The sequence below is a fragment of the Homo sapiens genome, chromosome 10 (assembly GCF_000001405.40).
Source record: "Homo sapiens chromosome 10, GRCh38.p14 Primary Assembly".
Lineage (NCBI taxonomy): Eukaryota > Metazoa > Chordata > Mammalia > Primates > Hominidae > Homo > Homo sapiens.
In genome coordinates this window covers 27,243,900-27,264,407 of record NC_000010.11, presented here as the reverse complement: position 1 = coordinate 27,264,407, position 20,508 = coordinate 27,243,900, and the positions used below count along the sequence as shown (strand labels likewise).

The window sequence follows — 20,508 nt, the reverse complement described above, 5'->3', positions numbered from 1 at the left end:
TTAAAGAGCTCTTGAAATGCAGTTTAAGAATGGTTTTGCTGCAGTTCTAAAATTGAAATTCTGACTTTATTCTCACAAATAATCCCAAAGGGATAAAACGGAAAAGGCATCTACAGGAAGCCTTGGCTAGCTAGGGAACTGTTTTTGGTATGATCGGACTTTAAAAGTTCATATCCAGAACAAAGAAGAACAAGGTGGTAGAAAATAGAATGCCTAAGGTGCAAAATAAACTTGAGGCTGGCAAAAAGAAAAAAAAATACATATATATATATATGTACACACACATAATGTTAGCTTATTTATTGTATAATTATGTGTAATGAAATAATACTCTTATACGACTATAATTATGTTCATATAATTTATGCATATGTGTGTGGTATATATATATTAGCCATGTTTGAATGAGATAGATTGATAGTTCACTGTTTGAGATGGAGCAATTTTTTCTCATCTCAGATTTGAAAGGCTCTAATCTGAGGATAGCACTAATTATTAAGAAGTGTCTCCCTTATATTGAGCAAAATCAAAATTCATCATTCATCACCCCCCCACACCTCCTGCTGCTATCCCAGAAATTGATCAATTTAAATACCAGAAGAGATTTCGCCTACATCAGAGGTCACAGAACCAATGGCTCCTGGCATCTGGCAGGTAATACGGAAGTACCCCACACATTTATAGAAATAAAATTCAGAAGAATATGGATGACCCGGTGTGGTGGCTCATGCCTGTAATCCTAGCATTTTAGAAGGCTGAGGCAGGAGGATCACTTGAGGCCAGGAATTTGAGACATAGCAAGACCCTATCTCTAAAAAGTACATATATATACACATATACACACACACACACATATATATACACATATGGGTGGAAAGACTAGGCATAAAGCAGCAATGGATGTTGGCAGTGTAGTGACCTGGATAATGTATACCCTGTCAAAAGAAATTTACCCACAAAAATTAAAAATTAAAATTGTGTTTAAAAACTTTAAATTTAAAACTTAGAAAGATACTGTGTTGGCCAAGTTGAATATCCTCAGACTTCACCGGTGTGTTTCTGGTTCGCAATCCCTGGTTTAGAGGATTTCGGAGATTCAGAGAGGTTAGGTGACTTGCCCCCAAACCTAGAACCAATCGATAAAAATATGTACAATGAAGATATCAAATCCTAGAAGCAAGTAACTGGCTTACCTAACATAACCTGATTCAAATGCGGAGGGCGCCAAACTTGTGTTCCACTCAAGTGGTTCCACAAAAACAAATTTTGCCTCTTGGGGATGTTTATAGATAAAATTCTCCACAAACAATAATTTCTTTCAATATCACTTCATTTAGAGGGGTGATTTCGAGGATTCCAGTTCCATGTCCGGCAGCAGTCCACTGCGTCAATTTCCTCAGAGCCACACCCATGGGATCCGCCAGTGCTCAGACCTGAGCTTAGCACACGCACTACATCAGAGCAGAAAGAGAAAGAGACAATAGCGTCCACCTTTTCCTTGGAACATTTTTCATTTTCAAGACTTTAAACTAGTACTCCCCATCCCACATTCTGCTTATTAATCTTGGAAGATTCTTTTAACATTATCTAATTGCTCTTCAGTTCAATAAAGTAGTAAACCAGCACTAGGTAAAACTGACTAGTATTTAAGAACTTTCTTGTATTTGTCTGCTCTGAAATTAATAACTTCTTTCTAATTTTCCTGGGGCCTTAGAGAGAGGATTCAAACAGATAGGCATAAAACCCAAACAGAAAACTCCAAGAGTGGAAAAAAAGAAGTGGAAGAGGTTGGCATTAAGGGCTTTTGTTCACAGCTCTGTTGGGAGCCAGCAGTTTCAAGGACAAATGCTCCTTTGAGCCAGGACTCACATTGTTTAGAATTATACTATTAAACTGAATATTGTTATCCTGACTTTCTTATAGTGATAATACCTGCATCATCACAATGATGACTGAAGAACATGATTCTGATAGCTCTGGTTTCCCCAAGTGCCTTCTGAGTTATAAAAAAAAAAAAAAGAAATAGAATAAGAACAGTATTGTGAAATATAATTTTTTTCTGAAAATTGATGTAGGAAACATTGATCCTATTACCAGACTATCTGGACAATCCAAATACTATATTCTCTGCCCATATATCCTGCCCAGAATGACATTTTACTGTAATTTGCAACCTTCTTAAGAGTTAATGTGAGAGAGGTAGGAATAAGTGAGAGTCTTTCTGCCTTTTTATCTAAATTAGTTACCGGAAGAGTCTAGCAGTAAAATTTAAAACAAATTCAAGTGAAACAAACTTCACATTGGCTAAATAGAAATTAGTCTGTAAAAGAAGATCTTTTAAAAAATAACAGTATCTGTAACATTAAATAAGAGCCAAGTTAGAACGCAACTTCTGACTTTAATTTATAATGAACATTTAAGGCTTTTTTTGCAGATAAGCTATATTTGTTTCCTTTGTCATTGTAATAACACTTGTTGATAAAATATTTCTTCCATAATGTTAGATGAATGGTTATACAATTAAAAATAGAATAAAATTAGGTTTTTTCCGATCATTATATTTTTACAAAGGCTCAAAGTACAAAGATTAGACTTGGAGATTTTACATTCTGCACTGTATTAAATCTTAGAACTATCTATTAAATTCAATCACAGGAGATCATTGGATCACAACAGGGCAGTACTTTCTGCTGATAGAGTATAGAAATATTATAGAGATGTCTAGTTACCAACACGATAGGAAAGGGGGCATTATCAGCCTTTAGTGATGAGGACCAAGGATGTAAAATACCCTTCTGTGCAGGACAGTACCTCAGAAGGAAGAATTCTGCTGTAACCTCCAGGTATCTGATAAGTGAAAAGCTTCAGATAAGCACTACCTGAGCCTAGAGTTTTTCTACACTTTGCAAAAATCGCAAAGTATTTTGTCACAGTTTTATTATACCCTGAATTTTCCAGAATTGTAGCTTTCATAAATGAAAGGAAGGTAGTACATACTTTGTTTTACATGGAATTTTACCAAGACATCATTGATAGCAAGGTTATTTGAGAAATTTAAGTTGCAATGGCACGTCTGTTACCAGTCTGCATTTGGGGCTGCTGTGTTTACAGTAATTCTGTGTAAGGCTGGACATCTGACTACTTCCTTATATACTCTAGCGTAGTGGTAACTCAAGCGTTTACATGCTGATATTTTATTACAATTATTTTCTTTATAGTTAGCACGCTATTGATATTGAAAACTTTATTAAATATGTACGATTATAATCTATGATCTTGATTTCAGGATCGTAAAGCAGCATTACAAAATTTTGTTATAAAAACCGAGTACTGGATCAGATAGGGTCGAGAACAACTGATCCAGACATATATACCAAAGTGTTCATGAAATAAAGCGTAGAAGTTAGTGCACGAATTTGTTCTGGGCGTTTGTTTTAGTATTCCAGCATTTTGTTTCTATTGCTAACTGATGAGAAATGCTTTAAACACATAAACATGTTCTGATGTGTATGTGTGAGACTTGCGTTTCCCAACGTTGCATAAAATAAGCACAAATAAGTGTAAAATAGTGTAAAATAACTGCAAATAGCTTTATCTTACACAGAAAGACAGGTGAACAGCTCGTCTTTAATCTTAAGCATAACATTTGTTTTGGTAATCTTATAAAGATTGCTTCTTGCACATTTTTAAAGAAAAAATGTGAAATTAAACAGATTATTAACGCTATACTAGTCAATATACCATATAGTAACTTCTTGAAGGACCCTTAGCACAGAACTAAGAAATGCAAAATCGTTCTTATTTCCGTCAAGATAAATTTTGACAGAAATGTAGCATTTGAATCTACTCAAATTGTATTTCCAAGTCCAGTGAACGGTAGCAATGCACAGTTTTATTAAAGAAGGTTGGTCAGCTTAAGAAAACCTCAGGGTGAGGCCGGGCGCGGTGGCTCACGCCTGTAATCCCAGCACTTTGGGAGGCCAAGGCGGGTGGATCACGAGGTCAGTAGTTCAAGACCAGCCTGACCAACATGGTGAAAAGCCCGTCTCTACTAAAAATACAAAAATTAGCCAGCTTGGTGGCGCGCGCCTGTAATCCCAGCTACTGAGGAGGCTGAGACAGGAGAGTCATTTGAACCCAGGGAGGTGGAGGTTGCAGTTAGCCGAGATCGCGCCACTGCACGCCAGCCTATGCGACAGAGTGGACTCCATCTCAAAAAGAAAAAAAAAAAAAAAAAACCCTCAGGGTGGCCTATGACAATCCAGAAGGCAAGTTCAATGTTATTAGAAAATAAATAAATGGTGTTCCAAAATGGTCGGTATAACTCAAAACTAAGATTTTAAAATCAAAAGCAGTTGCTCCCCAGTTCCTACCCATTGCCAATCCATTAGCTCTTTTGGCTTAAGAACCATAGTTAAAATGAATCCATGTAAATAGCACATACCTTTGAAGTAAAGAAAATAAGTTTAAAGATTAAAAAGGAAAAAGCTTTGATTACGTGTTTACATAAACTGGGAATCAGTTAACACTCATTTTTCTCTCTATCCAATAGATACCATAGATTGTTTTTCTTTCTAATGGTCAATTTTAAGCTTCCAGCATCATTAGTGAAATAAAACCCATTCGGGAATCATGTCGTTAACACTTATGCAGAAGCACGACCGAATTCTTTAGGGGGCTATGGAAAGGCAGCCATCAGCTCTGAGATCTATGAATGTGATTGGTAACATCCACCGGGAGTCCGCGCATACACGGCTTTCTGAGAATGCAGAAGTTACTCAGTAAGACCTACAGAAAATCGAACTTTTAGAACTGGCATGAACAGGGCCCTAAGTAAAATCAAAGCTAAGCCTAGTGTGGGATGACGGCCCCCACCAGACTCGTTACAAGAAGGGGGCGTCAGAGCTGAGACCCTAAGTTTCCAAGAATGGATTCGGTAAAGGGACGAGGTGGGAAGTGACGGCGAACACCACGTTGGGAGCGGGAGGCCGAGCTGCAAGGGCGAAGGAGAAAGATGGGCTCGCGGAAGGAGAGACAGGGAAACAGCGGGGTAAGTGGAGAACCGATCCGGGAGGTGATGGGTCCAGGGTAGTGCAGAGAGGGGCGCAGGGACTGAGGAGCAGACGGTCCCCAACCGAGGGCCGAGGCAGGGTCTCGCGGGGAGGAAGGAGCGAGATGGGCCTGGGAGAGAAAAGGGGAGGGGGCAGGTCTCGGCCCCCGGGAGGGAAAGGGAAGCAGGCGAGAGCAGCAGCGGCGGGGCCGGAGAGCGGCCCCGGTTTCCCGATCTACGCGGCCGGCTGCAGAGCCCCCATGGGGTGGGCCTGGGGACCCCCGGCCGAAGTCACCTGCAGCGCCCTGCCCCGCCGCAGTCGGCGCCCACCTGTTGCTAGGACACCACTCAACCCCGGGCGCCCTACGGCCGCGTAAAGCTGCGCCGTCGGCTGAGGCCTCCCGGGTTTGTGCCCTCCCTCGGGCGCCGCCCCAGCCCTCCGCTCCCAGTCTCACCGGCCACGATCGCAGCCCCGTCCGTCACCGCGGTCCGGGGACCTCCGCGCATCCAAGATTCCCGCGGACTCGCTGCACCGAATGCCCACGCCAGAGACGCTCTGCGCCCGCGCTGGGTTCCACCCGCGCCGGCCACCTGCTGCTTTCCACTCGGCCCCTCCCGGGAAACACTTTCATTCAACTCTGCATTTCCCTTTCTCAGACACTCTTATACAACTCCCCAGTATGCATCCCAACTCACTCCACGCGGTAGGAAAGGTTGACCTTCACGAAGGTCGTGAGCAGTTGTGGGGTCGGGGACAAGTTAGCAGAAACTTAAAATAGAGCAGAAAGGAAAGAGAAAATATTCCTTAGAAACCCTTTTTACATTTCTCCACAGGCTTCCAGACAAGTGCGTTGTATGTACCTGAAATCTTCACTGAGTACCCCCAAATAGCATAGGGCTTCTCCTAGGATATTTGAGGCTTACATGTTTCTCTCCAAAAAACGAATATGTTAGAATACTCTGATACTCACCTGGAAAGCAGAAAGCGCTCTTCAATAGGGCAGAGGATCGGAGTGAAATGAAAACACGTCCCCCATCTCTTTTTTTAAATGGCTTTTACCTTTGTCCATTAAGATGGTTTTGACCCCACCTCTAGACACCCTACCAGCAAGAGTCCCAACTGGAAAACCAGTGAGGGACAAGGGAGTAGGAATATTGAGGCGGGGGTGGGTGGGGAAGAATGCACTATCTTGGGGTGGAGGGAGACTGTGCTTAGAGGCCAGTGCCAGAGCATTTACGATGATGGGATGTTTCGGAATTGAAACTGGATTCTTTTCCAGATGCCAAAGAGGCAAATGTGGAATGTCCTCAGGATATCACCTGTCATTATACGGATACAGCTCAAAGCAGAACCTTCCTGCAAACATGTAGGGATATGAGACCTAAATATTTGTCCTTTATTTTCAGTTTTTTGGAGGGTCGGGTGTGTCCAGAATTGCTGGGTTCTTGGCCTCGCTGACTTGAAGAATGAAGCCGCAGACCCTGGCGGTGAGTGTTAACAGTTCTTAAAGATGGTGCGTCTGGAGTTTGTTCCTTTAGATGTTCAGACGTGTCTGGAGTTTCTTCCTTCCGGTGGGTTTGTGGTCTTGCTGGCCTCAGGAACGAAGCTGCAGACCTTCATGATGAGTGTTACAGTTCATAAAAACGGTGCGCGTCTGGAGTTGTTTGTTCCTCCTGGTGGGTTAGTGGTCTCACTGCCTTCAGGAGTGAAGCCGCAAACCTTCACAGTGAGTGTTACAGCTCACAAAGACAGCACAGCCCCAAAGACTCAGCAGCAACAACTGTTATTGCAAAAAGCGGAAAGAACAAAACACACCGTCAGGAAGACGACCACAGTAAGCTGCGGTGGCTAGCGCAGGCAACCTGCTTTTATTCCCTTATCTGGCCCCACCCACATCCTGCAGATTGGTCCATTTTAAAGAAAGCTGATTGGTCCGTTTTACAGAGAGCTGATTGGTCCGTTTTGACAGGGTGCTGATTAGTGTTTACAATCCCTGAGCTAGACACAGAGTGCTGATTGGTGCATTTACAATCCTCTAGCTAGACATAAAAGTTCTCCAAGTCCCCACTAGATTAGCTAGACACAGAGCACTGATTGGTGCATTTACAAACCTTTAGCTAGACACAGTGCTGATTGGTGCGTTTACAATTCTCTAGCTTGACATAAAAGTTCTCCAAGTCCCCACCAGATTAGCTAGATACAGAGTGCTGATTGGTGCATCCACAAACCCCTGGAGCTAGACGTAGAGTGCTGATTGGTGCATATACAATCCTCCAGCTAGACATAAAAGTTCTCCAAGTCGCCAAGCGACTCAGGAGCCCAGCTGGCTTTACATAGGCCTGGTGGATCCTGCGCCATGGGCCGCGGGCGGAGCTGACCTTCAGTCCCAGGCGGTGCGCGGGCACTCCTTAGCCCTTGAGGGGTCAATGGGATCTGGCGCTGCAGAGCAGTGGGCAGTGCGCCCATGGCGGGGAGGAGCCAGGGGAGGAGCGGGGGAAGAGGGGGTGGGGGAAGCGGGGCGGGAGCGGGGGGGGCGGGGCGGGAGCGGGGGAGGGGGGCGGGGCGGGAGCGGGGGTGGGGGGCGGGGCGGGAGCGGGGGTGGGGGGCGCGGGGCGGATTTGGGCATATGCCGCAGGCTGCAGGTCCTGAGCCCTGACCCGCGGGTAGGCGGCTGAGGCCCAGTGAGAATTCGAGAGTGGTGCGCGCAGGCCGGCAGTGCTAGGGGTCCCGGGGCATCCTCCGCAGCTGCTGGCTTGGTGCTAAGCCCCTCACTGCCCTGGGCACTCCAAGTGCAGGTCCCGCCGAGCCCACGCCCACCCGGAACTCACGCTGGCCCGCGAGTGCTCTGCGCAGCCCCAGTTCCCACCCGCGCCTCTCCCTCCAGGCCTCTCCCTCCATACCTTCCGGCAAGCAGAGGGAGCTGGCTCAGGCCTCGGCCAGCCCAGACAGGGGCTCCCACAGTGCAACGGCGGGCTGAAGGGCTCCTCAAGCGTGGCCAGAGTGGAGGCTGAGGCCAAGGAGGCACGGAGAGCGAGCAAGGGCTGCTAGCGTGTTGTCGTCTCTCAGGGGGATGGAGTCTGGCTCTGTCACCTAGGCTGGAGTGCTATCTCTGCTTACTGCAACCTGTGCCTCCCAGCTCACTGCAACCTTTGCCTCCTGGGTTCAAGTGATCCTCCGGCCTCAGCTTCCTGAGTAGCTGGGATTACAAACATGTGCCACCATGCCCAGCTAATTTTTGTACTTTTAGTAGAGACAGGGTTTCACCATGTGGGCCAGGCTGGTCTCAAACTCCTGACCTCAAGTGATCCGCCCACCTAGGCCTCCCAAAATGCTAGGATTACAGGTGTGAGCCACTGCACCTGGCCTGTTTTGGGTTCTTTTCTTCTCTTTTTGAAAGTGCAAAAGTTGTTGGGAATTGAATAGTTTCGCCTAAAGGAGCTTCTACCTGCAGAGAAGCTTAGGCTTGCAACCAGTGAGAAAGGGGCTTATGCTAATAGGTATATAGCCTGGGCAACAGCACAAAAACTCTGTCTCAAAAAAAAAAAAAAGTATAGTAAATTATGAAAAAGAATAAGCATCTTCAACAATAAAGAATGAAAAAAATAAAAACTATACTCCACAATTAGAAAACAATAACTCTTAGGTTGTTAAAATATTTTTTGATATATTTTAAATAAGACACCCTCAATATATGTGCAGAAAAGATTATATTAGTATAGGAAACAGCTGTGATTATAGATATATAAACTAGAGAAATGCTAGTCAGAAATAGGTTTATCAGAAGAGAGAAGAAATTTTTATTTGAGTAAATGTAGAGTCTATAATTTAAAATTATACAATGGTTTTTTTATTAAATGTTTATTCAAATATAAAAACAAAAGCTTATAAATAGACCAAAAGAAATATTGTTGGTTTATAATCAGGTTCATAGGAACTAAAACAGAGTAATTAGATGAGAGAGTGTGCAAATGATTGTGTTATTTTAGTAAAAATATCTAACACTGTACCTTACAAATTAAAAATATACTTTTTAAAGGTCAACAAAAAATTATTGTGCTTCACATTTTTAAAACTTACCCTTCTTGTAGTATAGTTTGAAGTCAGGTAGCGTGATGCCTCCAGCTTTGTTCTTTTTGCTCAGGATTGTCTTGGCTATACGGGCTCTTTTTTGGTTCCATAAGAAATTTAAAGTAGTTTTTTCTAATTCTGTGAAGCAAATCAATGGTAGCTTGATGGGGATAGCATTGAATCTGTAAATTACTTTGGGCAGTATGGCCATTTTCATGATATTGATTCTTCCTATTCATGAGCATGGAATGTTTCCATTTGTTTATGTCCTCTTTTATTTCCTTGAGCAGTGGTTTGTAGTTCTCCTTGAAGAGGTCCTTCACATCCCTTGTAAGTTGGATTCCTAGGTATTTTATTCTCTTTGTAGCAATTGTGAATGGGAGTTCACTCATGATTTGGATCTCTATTTTTGGTGTATAGAATGCTTGAGATTTCTGCACATTGCTTTTGTATCCTGAGACTTTGCTGAAGTTGCTTATCAGCTTAAGGAGATTTTGGGCTGAGACGATGGGTTTTCCAAATATACAATCATGTCATCTGCAAACAGAGACAATTTGACTTCCTCTCTTCCTATTTGAATACCCTTTATTTCTTTCTCTTGCCTGATTGCCTTGGCCAGAACGCCCAATACTATGTAGAATAGGAGTGGTGAGAGAGGGCATCCTTGTCTTGTGTCGGTTTTCAAATGGAATGCTTCCAGCTTTTGCCCATTCAGTATAATATTGGCTATGGGTTTGTCATAAATAGCTCTTATTATTTTGAGATACATCACTCATAAGTGGGAGTTGAACAATGAGAACACATGGACACAAGGAGTGGAACACCACATACTGGGGCCTGTCGGGGAGTGGGGAAGTACAGGAGGGATAACATTAGGAGAAATACCTAATGTAGATGACGGGTTGATGGATGCAGCAAACCACCATGCCACACGTATACCTGTGCAACCAACCTGCACGTTCTGTACACGTATCCCAGAACTTAAAAGTGTAATAAAAAGAAATAAAATTTATCCTCCAAGTGAAATTACTATAAGAAGATAAATCTAACCTATAAATAAATAATCGACTATTTGGGAAAGTTAATAAACTTCTCAACACACAATAGAATTAAGGAAGATAGGCTGGGCGCAGCGGCTTATGCCTGTAATCGCAGCACTTTGGGAGGCCGAGGCTGGCAGATCACGAGCTCAAGAGATTGAGACCATCCTGGCCAACATGGTGAAACCCCGTCTCTACTGAAAATACAAAAATTAGCCGGGTGTGGTGGCCTGTGCCTGTAGTCCCAGCTACTCGGGAAGCTGAGGCAGTAGAATCGCTTGAACCCGGGAGGCGGAGGTTGCAGTGAGCCGAAATCCTGCCACTGCACTCCAACAGGAAATTAATAACAAAAAAGAGACAGAGAGGGTGTGGAGAGAGTGTGTGTGTGTATGTGTGTGTGTGCATGTGTGAAAGAGAGACTATGGGGGTGGGGAGTGTGTGTGTGTGTGAGAGAGAGAGAGATTATCTCTGCTTCTTTTGTGGAAAAGCAGCCCCGCCTCCTCCTGCTGATCAGAGTATATGAATCCTGCCCCAGTGGTGATGTATTTCTTGTCTTTTGGTTACTGGACCCAAAGAATCTAAAGCACCCAACCCATAACCTTTAGAGAACAGGACTTGCCTGCCTTCCAGATCCCAGAGCTGCAGTGATGAGAAGCACAGGAAAACCTTAGAAGATTATTGGGAGCATTTGTAACTGGGGACACTCCTGTTTCTACCTCTCAGTTTCCTGTAGATTCTTCCTATGAAGAACTACTATATAAAGATCTGTGATTGAATATGTATAAAAGATGATGCCTCCTGCTTTCAGAATGTCTCTTTTGGCATAGTACCTCCTTTGCATCTTGAGAAGATTTCCCCAGGGCTCCATGAGTCCAACTGCGGCTTTTTTTTTTTTTTTTTTGAGACAGAGTATAGCTCTGTCGCCAGGCTGGAGTACAGTGGCTCAACTGCAACCTCCGCCTCCCGGGTTCAAGTGATCCTTCTGCCTCAGCCTCCCGAGTAGCTGGGACTGCAGGCGCCCACCACCATACCCGACTAATTTTTGTATTTTTAATAGAGACGGGGTTTCACCATGTTGGCAAGGATGGTCTTGATCTCTTGACCTCGTGATCCACCCGCCTCGGCCTCCCAAAGTACTGGGATTACAGGCGTGAGCCACCATGCGCGGCTGGAATTAAGACTATATATATATTGATTTTTTTTTCTTGAAATCTACATGGATTTAAGAATCATTAGTATATTGAACGGGAAGAAACAAGATGGCGGCTGAAGGTGATCCAGAGTGGGGCCCCAGCGATTCGGATTGAGCCTTCTCCCTCCACCCGCTTCGGCAGGCCGGGTCTCTACCGCCCAGGCGCCCGGCCCCTCGGGCCTCCTCGTCAGGCCCCGGCGCTCCCCACTGCCTCCACTGCGCCCGCCGCTCCTCGTCCGCTTTCCCTTCTCCCCCGGTCTCAGCCGCCGCCGCCGCACACGTCCGAACCCATCGGGGGCTCAGCTAGCGGCAACGCAGTAGCAGCCGGGGCAGGTGGGCCGCCGCCAGGATGAGGTGGCGCCCAAGACGCGGCTGAGCTCGGCCAGGGTGGGCAGCAGTAGTTGGCGGAAGCTGCCGCTGCCTTCCGCCCCCACACACGCACACCACACCACACACACCAGCGCCCCTGGCGGCGGCGGCGGGGGCGGCGGGGCTGGGGCAGCCACCTGGCGTGCACCACCGAGGCCCTCGGCCGTTAACAAAGTGGTATACGATGACCTCAAGAGCGAGGAGGAGGAGTACGGCGACGCTGAGGAGACCCAGGAGTCTGAGGACAACTAGGAGGATGAGATGGAGGAGGACGACGATGACTTCGATTACCCTTACCCGGAGGAGCTGGAAGACGACGAGGAGGACTCCAGTTACTGCAGGGAAAGCAACTTCAGGAGCCATAGTACCTACAGCAGCACTTCAGGCTGGAATGCAATGTTGCGATCTCGCTTCACTGCAGCCTCTGACTCCCAGGTTCAAGCGATTCTCCTGCTTCAGCCTCCTGAGTAGCTGGGATTACAGGTCAGTTTCTCTCCCTGGAAGGAAGAGTATTCTCGGATTTCAAAAAAAGGAGGAAGAGTTCAGGCTGCCAGAAGTGGACTAGCACTTCTGAATATCCGGAGGCGAGGTCGCCTGACTTCCTTGGGAAGCTCTGCAGTGCCCCCACCCCACCCTACCCCACCACTGCAGGCCCTGGAGTCCTGGGACCACCCAGGTCTGCGACCCAAATCCTTCCTCGCTAAGGGGAGGGGAGGGGGTTCCGGGGGGGCGGGATGGGAAGGGGTGCTTGGACAGGATTGTGACATAAGATTGCCATGGTGACATGGAGCAGATTTAGACCCGAGCCTAATAAAGGTGGCATTAAATAAAGGTGTCATAAAGACAGGGCAGGGCGCACGCTTATAAGGGACACGAGCGTTTCGGGGCTGCCAGAATGGCTCTCGCTCACTGCGCGGTGCCAGCATGTGTCATGTCCCGGCTGTGTTTCTGGGGCCTATGGCCCCTGCTCACGTGGCAACTATTGTGGCTACTAGTCAAGGAGGCTCAGCCTCTGGAGTGGGTCAAGGATCTGCTCCAGCTGACCTCTAACCCCCGGGGGCCGCCTGAGCCCTGGTCTTCCGCTCCTCCCATCTCCCATGGGAATCTCCCCATGCCCCTATTGCCCCAGCAGATCCGGGGGACTTTGATTACCTGGGGCCCTCTGCTTCCTCGCAGATGTCAGCCCCACCCCAGGAATCAACTGAAAATTTGGTTCCATTCCTGGACACGGATTCAGCTGGAGAGCTGCCCCTAGGGCCAGGGCAGTTCTCAGTTGCACACCAGGATTTCAATGACAAGCTGACTCTGCAAGAAAGGCTCCCAGAGGTGGTTCCAATGCTGGACAGGGATCAGAACCAGACCCTAGTTCAGCCTCCTCGCCTCAAAAGTAAGGTTCAAACTGCAGATCTAGATGGGGCTGCAGGTCATCAGGCAGATGAAATACTTGTTCCACTAGACAGTAAGGTTTCAAAACCAACCAAATTTATTTATTGTTTGTTTCACCCAGGAACCTGAAGAAAGATCTAGCTCAGCATTGGAGCATTGCTGATATTGTTGGAATTCCACAGCAATTATCCAAACCACAGCGTTAGAAACAGACTTTGCAGGATGAATATTCGAGTATGGATACACAGTATCCTGGCAGCCTGCCTCCAGAACTCCGGGTGAACTCAGATGAGCCTCCAGGGTCCCCTGAGTAAGTTGGACTTTCTCAATTCCATCTAGAGCCTGAAACTCAAAATCCAGAGACCCTTGAAGATATCCAGTCCTCTTCACTCCAGGAAGAAGCCCCAGAGCAGCTTCCACACCTCCTTCTTCAACCCAGCAGGAGGCCCCAGCTCTGCCTCCAGAGTCCTCTATGGAGAGTCTAGCTCAAACTCTACCAAATCATGAGGTGACAGTTCAACCTCCAGGTGAGGATCAAGCTCATTATAACTTGCCCAACATTACAGTTAAACCTGCAGATGTGGAGGTTACCATAACTTCGGAGCCTACCAATGAGAAAGAATCTTCCCAAGCCCAGCAGGAGGCTCCAGTTCAGTTTCCAGAGGAGGTGGAACCTTCTGCAACCCAACAGTAGGCCCCAACCGAGCCTCCATGTCATCCTACGGAGCGTGAACTTTCCATTAGTGAGCAGGAGCAGCCAGCTCAGCCTTCTGAGTCTTCTGGGGAGGTTGAATCTTCTCAGACTCGGCAGGAGACCCCAGCTCAGCCTCCAGAAGAGATGGAACCTCCTGCAAACCAAGAGGAGGCCCCAACTGAGCCTCCAGGTCCTCCTGTAGAGCCTGAACTTTCCCCCAGTGAGCAGGAGCAGCCAGCTCAGCCTTCTGGGGAGGTTGAATCTTCTCCAGCCCAGCAGGAGACCCCAGCTCAGCCTCCAGAACATCATGAAGTCACCGTTTCACCTCCAGGTCACCATCAAACTCAGCATTCAGATTTGCCCAATGTCTCTGTTAAGCCTCCAGACATGCAGCTCACCATAGCAACAGAGCCTAGTGCAGAGGTGGGAACTTCTCCAGTCCACCAGGAGGCTACAGCTCAGCTCTCAGGACCAGGTAATGATGTAGAACCTCCCACTATCCAGCACGGGGGCCCACCTCTTCCTCCAGAGTCACCGGAAGATGCTGGACCTTTAGCAATTCAACAGGAGACTTCAGTTCAATCTCCGGAACCTATTAATAATGAGAACCCCTCTCCAACCCAGCAGGAAGCTGCAGCTGAGCATCCACAGACTGCTGAGAAGGGTAAGTCTTCTCTAACCCAGCAGGAGGCCCCAGCTGAGACTCCAGAGCTCCCTAATGTAGTTGTAGCTCAATCTCCGGAACATTCAAACCTGACTCAAGCCACAGTTCAACCTTTGGACCTGGGGCTTACCATCACTCCAGAATCCACAACAGAAGTTGAACTTTCTCCAACCATGCAGGAGACCCCAACTCATCCTCCTAAGAAAGTTGTACCCCAACTTCCAGTATATCAAGAGGTTACAATTCCAACACCAGGTCAGGATCAGGCTCAGCATCCAATGTCACCCAGCATTACAGTTCAACCTTTGGACCTGGGACTTACCATCACTCCAGAACCCACTACGGAGGTTGGACATTCTACACCCCTGAAGAAGAATGTAGTTCCTCCAAAGCACCCTAAGGTGACACTTCCACATCCAGACCAGGTTCAGACTCAGCATTCAAACCTGACTCAAGCCACAGTTCAACCTTTGGATTTGGGGCTTACCACCACTCCAGAATCCACAACAGAGATTGAACCTTCTGCAGCCCTGACGACTACAGCTCCTCCTCCAGAACACCCTGAGGTGACACTTCCACCTTCAGACAAGGGTCGGGCTCAGCATTCAAACCTGACTCAAGTCACACTTCCACCTCTGGACCTGGAGCTTACCATAACTACAGAACCTACTACAGAGGTTAAACCGTCTCCAACCACGGAGGAGACCTCAACTCAGCCTCCAGACCTGGGGCTTGCCATAACTCCAGAGCCCACTACAGAGACTGGACATTCTACAGCCCTGGAGAAGACTACAGCTCCTCATCCAGACCAGGTTCAGACTCTGCATCGAAAACTGACTGAAGTCACAGGTCCACCTACTGAACTAGAACCTACTCAGGATTCACTGGTGCAGTCTGAAAGTTACGCCCAAAATAAGGCTTTAACCGCACCAGAGGAACAGTAGGCCTCCACAAGCACCAACATATGTGAGCTCTGTACCTGCGGAGGTGAGACGCTGTCGTGTATTGATCTCAGCCCAAAACAGAGGCTCTGCCAAGTGCCTGTGCCAGAGCCCAACACCTACCATGGCACCTTCACCATCTTAAATTTCCAAGGAAACTATATTTCTTACATTGATGGAAATGTATGGAAAGCATACAGTTGGACCGGGAAACTAATTCTCAATGAAAATTATTTGACTGAATTACATAACGATTCATTTAAAGGCCTGCTATCCCTCCAGTATTTAGATTTATCCTGCAATAAAATACAGTCTATCGAAAGACATACATTTGAACCACTACCATTTTTGCAGTTTATAAATCTTGGTTGCAATTTACTCACAGAACTGAGCTTTGGAACATTTCAGGCCTGGCATGGAATGCAGTTTTTACACAAGTTAATTCTCAATCGCAATCCTCTGACAACTGTTGAAGATCCATATCTCTTTAAATTGTCAGCATTTAAATATCTAGACACGGGAACAATGCAAGTCCCACTTACAACAATTGAGAACATTCTCGTGATGACTGTTGAACTGGAGAAACTGATCTTACCTAGCCATATGACCTGCTGCCTCTGCCAATTTAAAAATAGCACTGAGGCTGTCTGCAAGACAGTCAAGCTGCATTGCAGCAGTGCATTTCTGACAAACACCATACATTGTCTGAAGAAGCATCTGTAGAGAATCCAGGAGTGTTCATGAAGGTGTTACAAGCCCAGAAGAAGCACACGAGCACTGAGCTGACTATTGAGCCGGAGGCAGCCTCAGACAGCAATGGCATCAATTTGTCAGGCTTTGGGAGTGGGCAGCTAGACACCAATGATGAGAGGGATGTTATCAGTGCACTAAGTTACATCTTGCTTTATTTCTCAGCGGTAAATCTAGATGTGAAATCAATGTTGTTACCCTTCATTAATCTGCTTTCTTCAAATGTGCAAGATGGAGATAGGCTCCTGGGTATTTTGAATAACAATACAAAGAGCCCCTCTCTTCAACCTGCATCCAACAACTCAACTTATGAAAATAAATTGAGAAAGCTGTATTTGCTGGAAAGTATGTTAGATGCAGAAATACAAGAAAAAATTGATGAAGTTAAAAGGGAAGAAAAAACTGCCATGCTTATGCAGTCCAGCCTTCTAGGTAACAAATTTAAATGCCAAATATTTGAAAAGAAATTAGAAACTATCTAACCACAGGAAAGCAGCCTGGCAAAGATTCAAAGTGTAGGCAAAAACCTGCAGAGAGTGAACAGAGTCCTCATGGGCCCAAGGAGCATCTTGAAAAGGCACTTCAAAGAGGTGGAAAGCAGAGGATCAGGAGGGAACAGGGTGCCCAGGCATTTGCAGAGAACGCTGCCAAAGAAAAAAGGCTCGGGAGTCCAGCCCCAAGGGAGCTGAGACAGCCTCACATAGAGCAGGGGCCTGACAAGTTAGTGGGAAACACCATCTACACCAAGCCTTCATTCATCCAAGAGCATAAGGCCGCAGTCTCCTCTGTGCTGAAACCCTTCTCCATGGGTGTGCCTTCTGCCTCCACCCCTGCAAAAGCCCTACCTCAGGTCAGAGACAGAGCAAAAGACTTAACCTACACCATTTTCATTTTAGAAAATGCAAAGGCTAGAGTTAAAAATATGAAGGCTGCTAAACCAATCGTACATTCCAGAAAAAAATACTGCTTTCATAAAACTTGCTCCCGCATGGCCCACAGAACACTCAAGGCCAAAAAGAGTCCAAAGTTCAGAAAGAAAAATTACCTCATTAGACTGATGCTCGCAAAGAGGCCTCCATTCTCTGCAGTGAAGAGCCTCATAAATTCCCTTTCCCAAAGGGCTTTTTCATCTTTAGGAGACCCGAGTCCTCAGGAAAATCCTTTTCCAGAAGTATTTGCTCCTTCAGAACGTTTTATAGAAAACACTAATGTAAAAAACACAACTGCAAGAAATGCCTTTGAAGAAAACATTTTTATGGAAAACACTACTAGGCCATAAGGCACCATCTCTGAAAACACAACCCACAATCATCCTCCTGAGGCAGATTCCGCTGGGACTGCATTCAACTTAGGGCCAACTATTAAGCAAACTGAGACAAAATGGGAATACAACAACGTGGGCACTGACCTGTCCCCCGAGCCCAAAAGCTTCAATTACCCATTGTTCTCGTCCCCAGGTGATCAGTTTGAAATTCAGCTAACCCAACAGCCACGTTCCCTCATCCCCAACAACAATGTGAGAAGGCTCATTTCTCATGTTATCCGGACCTTGAAGATGGACTGCTCTGAGACCCATGTGCAATTGACCTGTGCCAAGCTCATCTCCAGGACAGGCCTCCTGATGAAGCTTCTCAGTGAGCAGCAAGAAGTAAAGGTGTCCAAGGCAGAATGGGATACGGACCAGTGGAAAACTGAGAACTATATCAATGACAGCACAGAAGCCCAGAATGAACAGAAAGAGCAGAAGTCGAGTGAGCTCACAAAAGAAGTTCCAGGATATGGCTATAACAACAAACTCATCTTGGCAATATTTGTGACCGAAATACTAACGACTTTGATTATAATTTTTTGCCTCATTGAGATTTATTCTCACCGATGGTCATCACAAGAAGATGGAGAAGGATTCTCAAGGGGCATTTTCAGATTTCTGCCACAGAGGAGATGCTCTTCACGAAGTGAGACTCAGGATGAATCTTTCTCATTCAGACAGCCACTCTGGCTTAAAGATATGTACAAACCTCTCAGTGCCACAAGAGTAAATAACCAGGCATGGAAGCTGCACAAGAAGTCATCTAATGAGGATGAGATCCCCATCTGATGAGGACAGCGAAACCCCAACAGAGAACGGGGAGGAGAGTGAAGCCCTGCCACGGGAGGAGAACACAGAGTGACCCCAGCCCACCTCAGGCGTCCTGCAAAAATACTTAGCGTAAACAACAAGGGCCATCAGAAAGAAAAGCAGGACTGAAGCCAGCGGCCCACGCATCCACAGAGGCAGCCGGCGGAGGAAGCACAGGGCCGTCGTTCCCTCCTTTGTTTCCCAGTCTAATTAATCACCCAGACCTGAAAACATATCCTCAGGGGGTGGAGATTTTACAATTAAATACCATTGTTCTTGGTGAAAAAAAATCATTAGTATATTATATATTGTGCACTAACAGTGACATAGTAGAATTTCTTTATCATCCTGAGAAGTCCACAAGACACTGGAAGAATAGACTAATCTACTTGTTCAGTTTTCTTAACTTTCAATGTATCTGTTTTGTCTTTTTGTCTTAATTTTATGCATAGAACTGCAGTGATTCTAACTAAAGTGAATAATAATTCAAGAAGCTTAGGCTCTTTTAAAAACACACTCATGAATTCTCTATTTAACATGCCTCAATTTAGCAATTTAGTCAAAAGTAAATATTTTCCACCTTTATGGTGATTCTGCCATTTCCAAATTCTTCCTCCCAAGTGCTCTCAATTTTGTTGTGTTGTTTTTTTTAGAAAAAAGTATCACCACAGCCCTGTTCAAATTTAGGTAATGGCTCTCTAAAGCCTCCATGATAACGTCTGAATTTCTGACAAGGTGCCTCCAAGTTTTGTTCCAAATTCTCATCTCACTAATTTTTGTCATACATTCTATGTTCCTTCCAAATCCTCTTTATCTCCCAAAACTCTGTTCCTCCTCTGCCTTTGCATGTGGTCTATGTGGAATGCCCAACTTTTTTTTTTTTGGTAATGACAGGGCCTTGCTCTACTGGCCAGGCTGGAGTGCAGTGGTGTGATCATAACTCACTGTAGCCTCAAACTCCTGGGTGCAAGCGATCCTCCTGCCTTGGCCTCCCAAAGTGCTCAGATTACACATGTGAGTCACTGTGCCCAGCCCACCTCTTTCCCACAGAATGTATCCTCCTTGTTCCTCAAGGTCAGTAAATATGCTTCATCCTCTCTAATATTTTCTGGTCTTCTCCAGAAGCCAGGATCAGGAGTCACTATACCTCCTCTGTTTTCCCCAAGCACTTTGTTAACAAATCTTTCATAGAATTCATTGCAGTATATGATATGCATTGGATTATATTGTATTATAATGTTATATTACTGCATCTTTTTCTCCACATTGTAAATTTCTTGATAGAGAATTTTCTTTATTCATTTCATGTCTAACATTGTATTTCTTGTCATGTAATAAGCAATAAAATTTTGATGACTTGAATGATGTGAGAAAATAAGAAAAAAACAGACTTGACGATTACACAGGTGTATGTCTTATTTTTCATTCGGCATAACTTCTGCCTGTATTTTATTGATAACCTTGGCCTTGAATATACATAAGTGGATAAAATGTCTCATATTTCGGAGTAGGTTGTAGCAAATTAATCATCTAATTGCTTGTTTATACTGTTCAATTTGATCATCACAGTTTAGGTCTCTAGCAAGAAGAAAAAGACGACTTTCACGTATGTGACAAATACATAAATAGGATACAAATCGGATTTGTTAATAATCGGAATCTGTTAAAAACAAGATAAATTTTTACTGTTTTGTGATAATAACAAAGTAAAATGAATTGTGTTCCTAGGGTTTACTTACAAATTAAACACACTATTACCACTTTATTTTCCAATTTCATCTCTTTAAGAAAAAAAAATGTGTTACTTTAAAATGATCTATGAGTACAATTTTATATGGAAAGGGCAATAACATTGCTTTCAATGCAAATAGAAGTTTATTATTGCAAGGGCAACTGTTAAAAAAAACTTCTTATTCACAACAGGCTGTGTGACATAGGCCTTTAACATGGGGCCAATGTCGCTAAGAAGTTGAAAATACAGTATTACAAAATCAGTAGAAAACAAGCAACAAAACAAAAGTGTCTATCTTCTTTTCTTTGTCCAACATGTTTGGGTAGTAGTATTGAAGGAGCTCTATGACAAGTGCAAATGATTGTAAAATGAATCAGCTCTGCTCAGCATATACACAGAGACTATAAAGTTACTTATGCAAATATAGCTCTACTGTGTTAATTGCCACAGGACTTAGATAGGTATGGCAGAAAGATGGCCAGATTTAGATGACCTAGACACT

The 20,508-nt window shown here is 45.2% G+C and overlaps 2 pseudogenes across 2 annotated transcripts in view, besides 2 other annotated features; one reads left to right on the top strand and one right to left on the bottom strand.

Annotated features, from left to right (window-relative positions):
* Positions 1–5,646, bottom strand: part of ODAD2P1 (outer dynein arm docking complex subunit 2 pseudogene 1) — a 76,294-nt pseudogene extending 70,648 nt beyond the window's left edge. Inside the window, exons 1-2 of the transcript NR_138082.1 lie at positions 5,506–5,646; positions 1,194–1,451 (exon numbers count right to left, since the gene is read on the bottom strand). The product of NR_138082.1 is annotated as an outer dynein arm docking complex subunit 2 pseudogene 1 (transcript). The remainder of the gene's footprint in view (positions 1–1,193; positions 1,452–5,505) is intronic.
* Positions 11,691–11,920: a silencer, noted in NCBI's record as "silent region_2246". NCBI's record gives its function as "represses an Ori minimal core promoter by ATAC-STARR-seq in GM12878 lymphoblastoid cells {active_cell/tissue: GM12878}" and the evidence as "EXISTENCE:reporter gene assay evidence [ECO:0000049][PMID:35858748]".
* Positions 11,961–12,120: an enhancer, noted in NCBI's record as "active region_3186". NCBI's record gives its function as "activates an Ori minimal core promoter by ATAC-STARR-seq in GM12878 lymphoblastoid cells {active_cell/tissue: GM12878}" and the evidence as "EXISTENCE:reporter gene assay evidence [ECO:0000049][PMID:35858748]".
* Positions 12,102–18,555, top strand: LRRC37A6P (leucine rich repeat containing 37 member A6, pseudogene; annotated as a pseudogene). The gene has a single exon (NR_003525.2). The product of NR_003525.2 is annotated as a leucine rich repeat containing 37 member A6, pseudogene (transcript).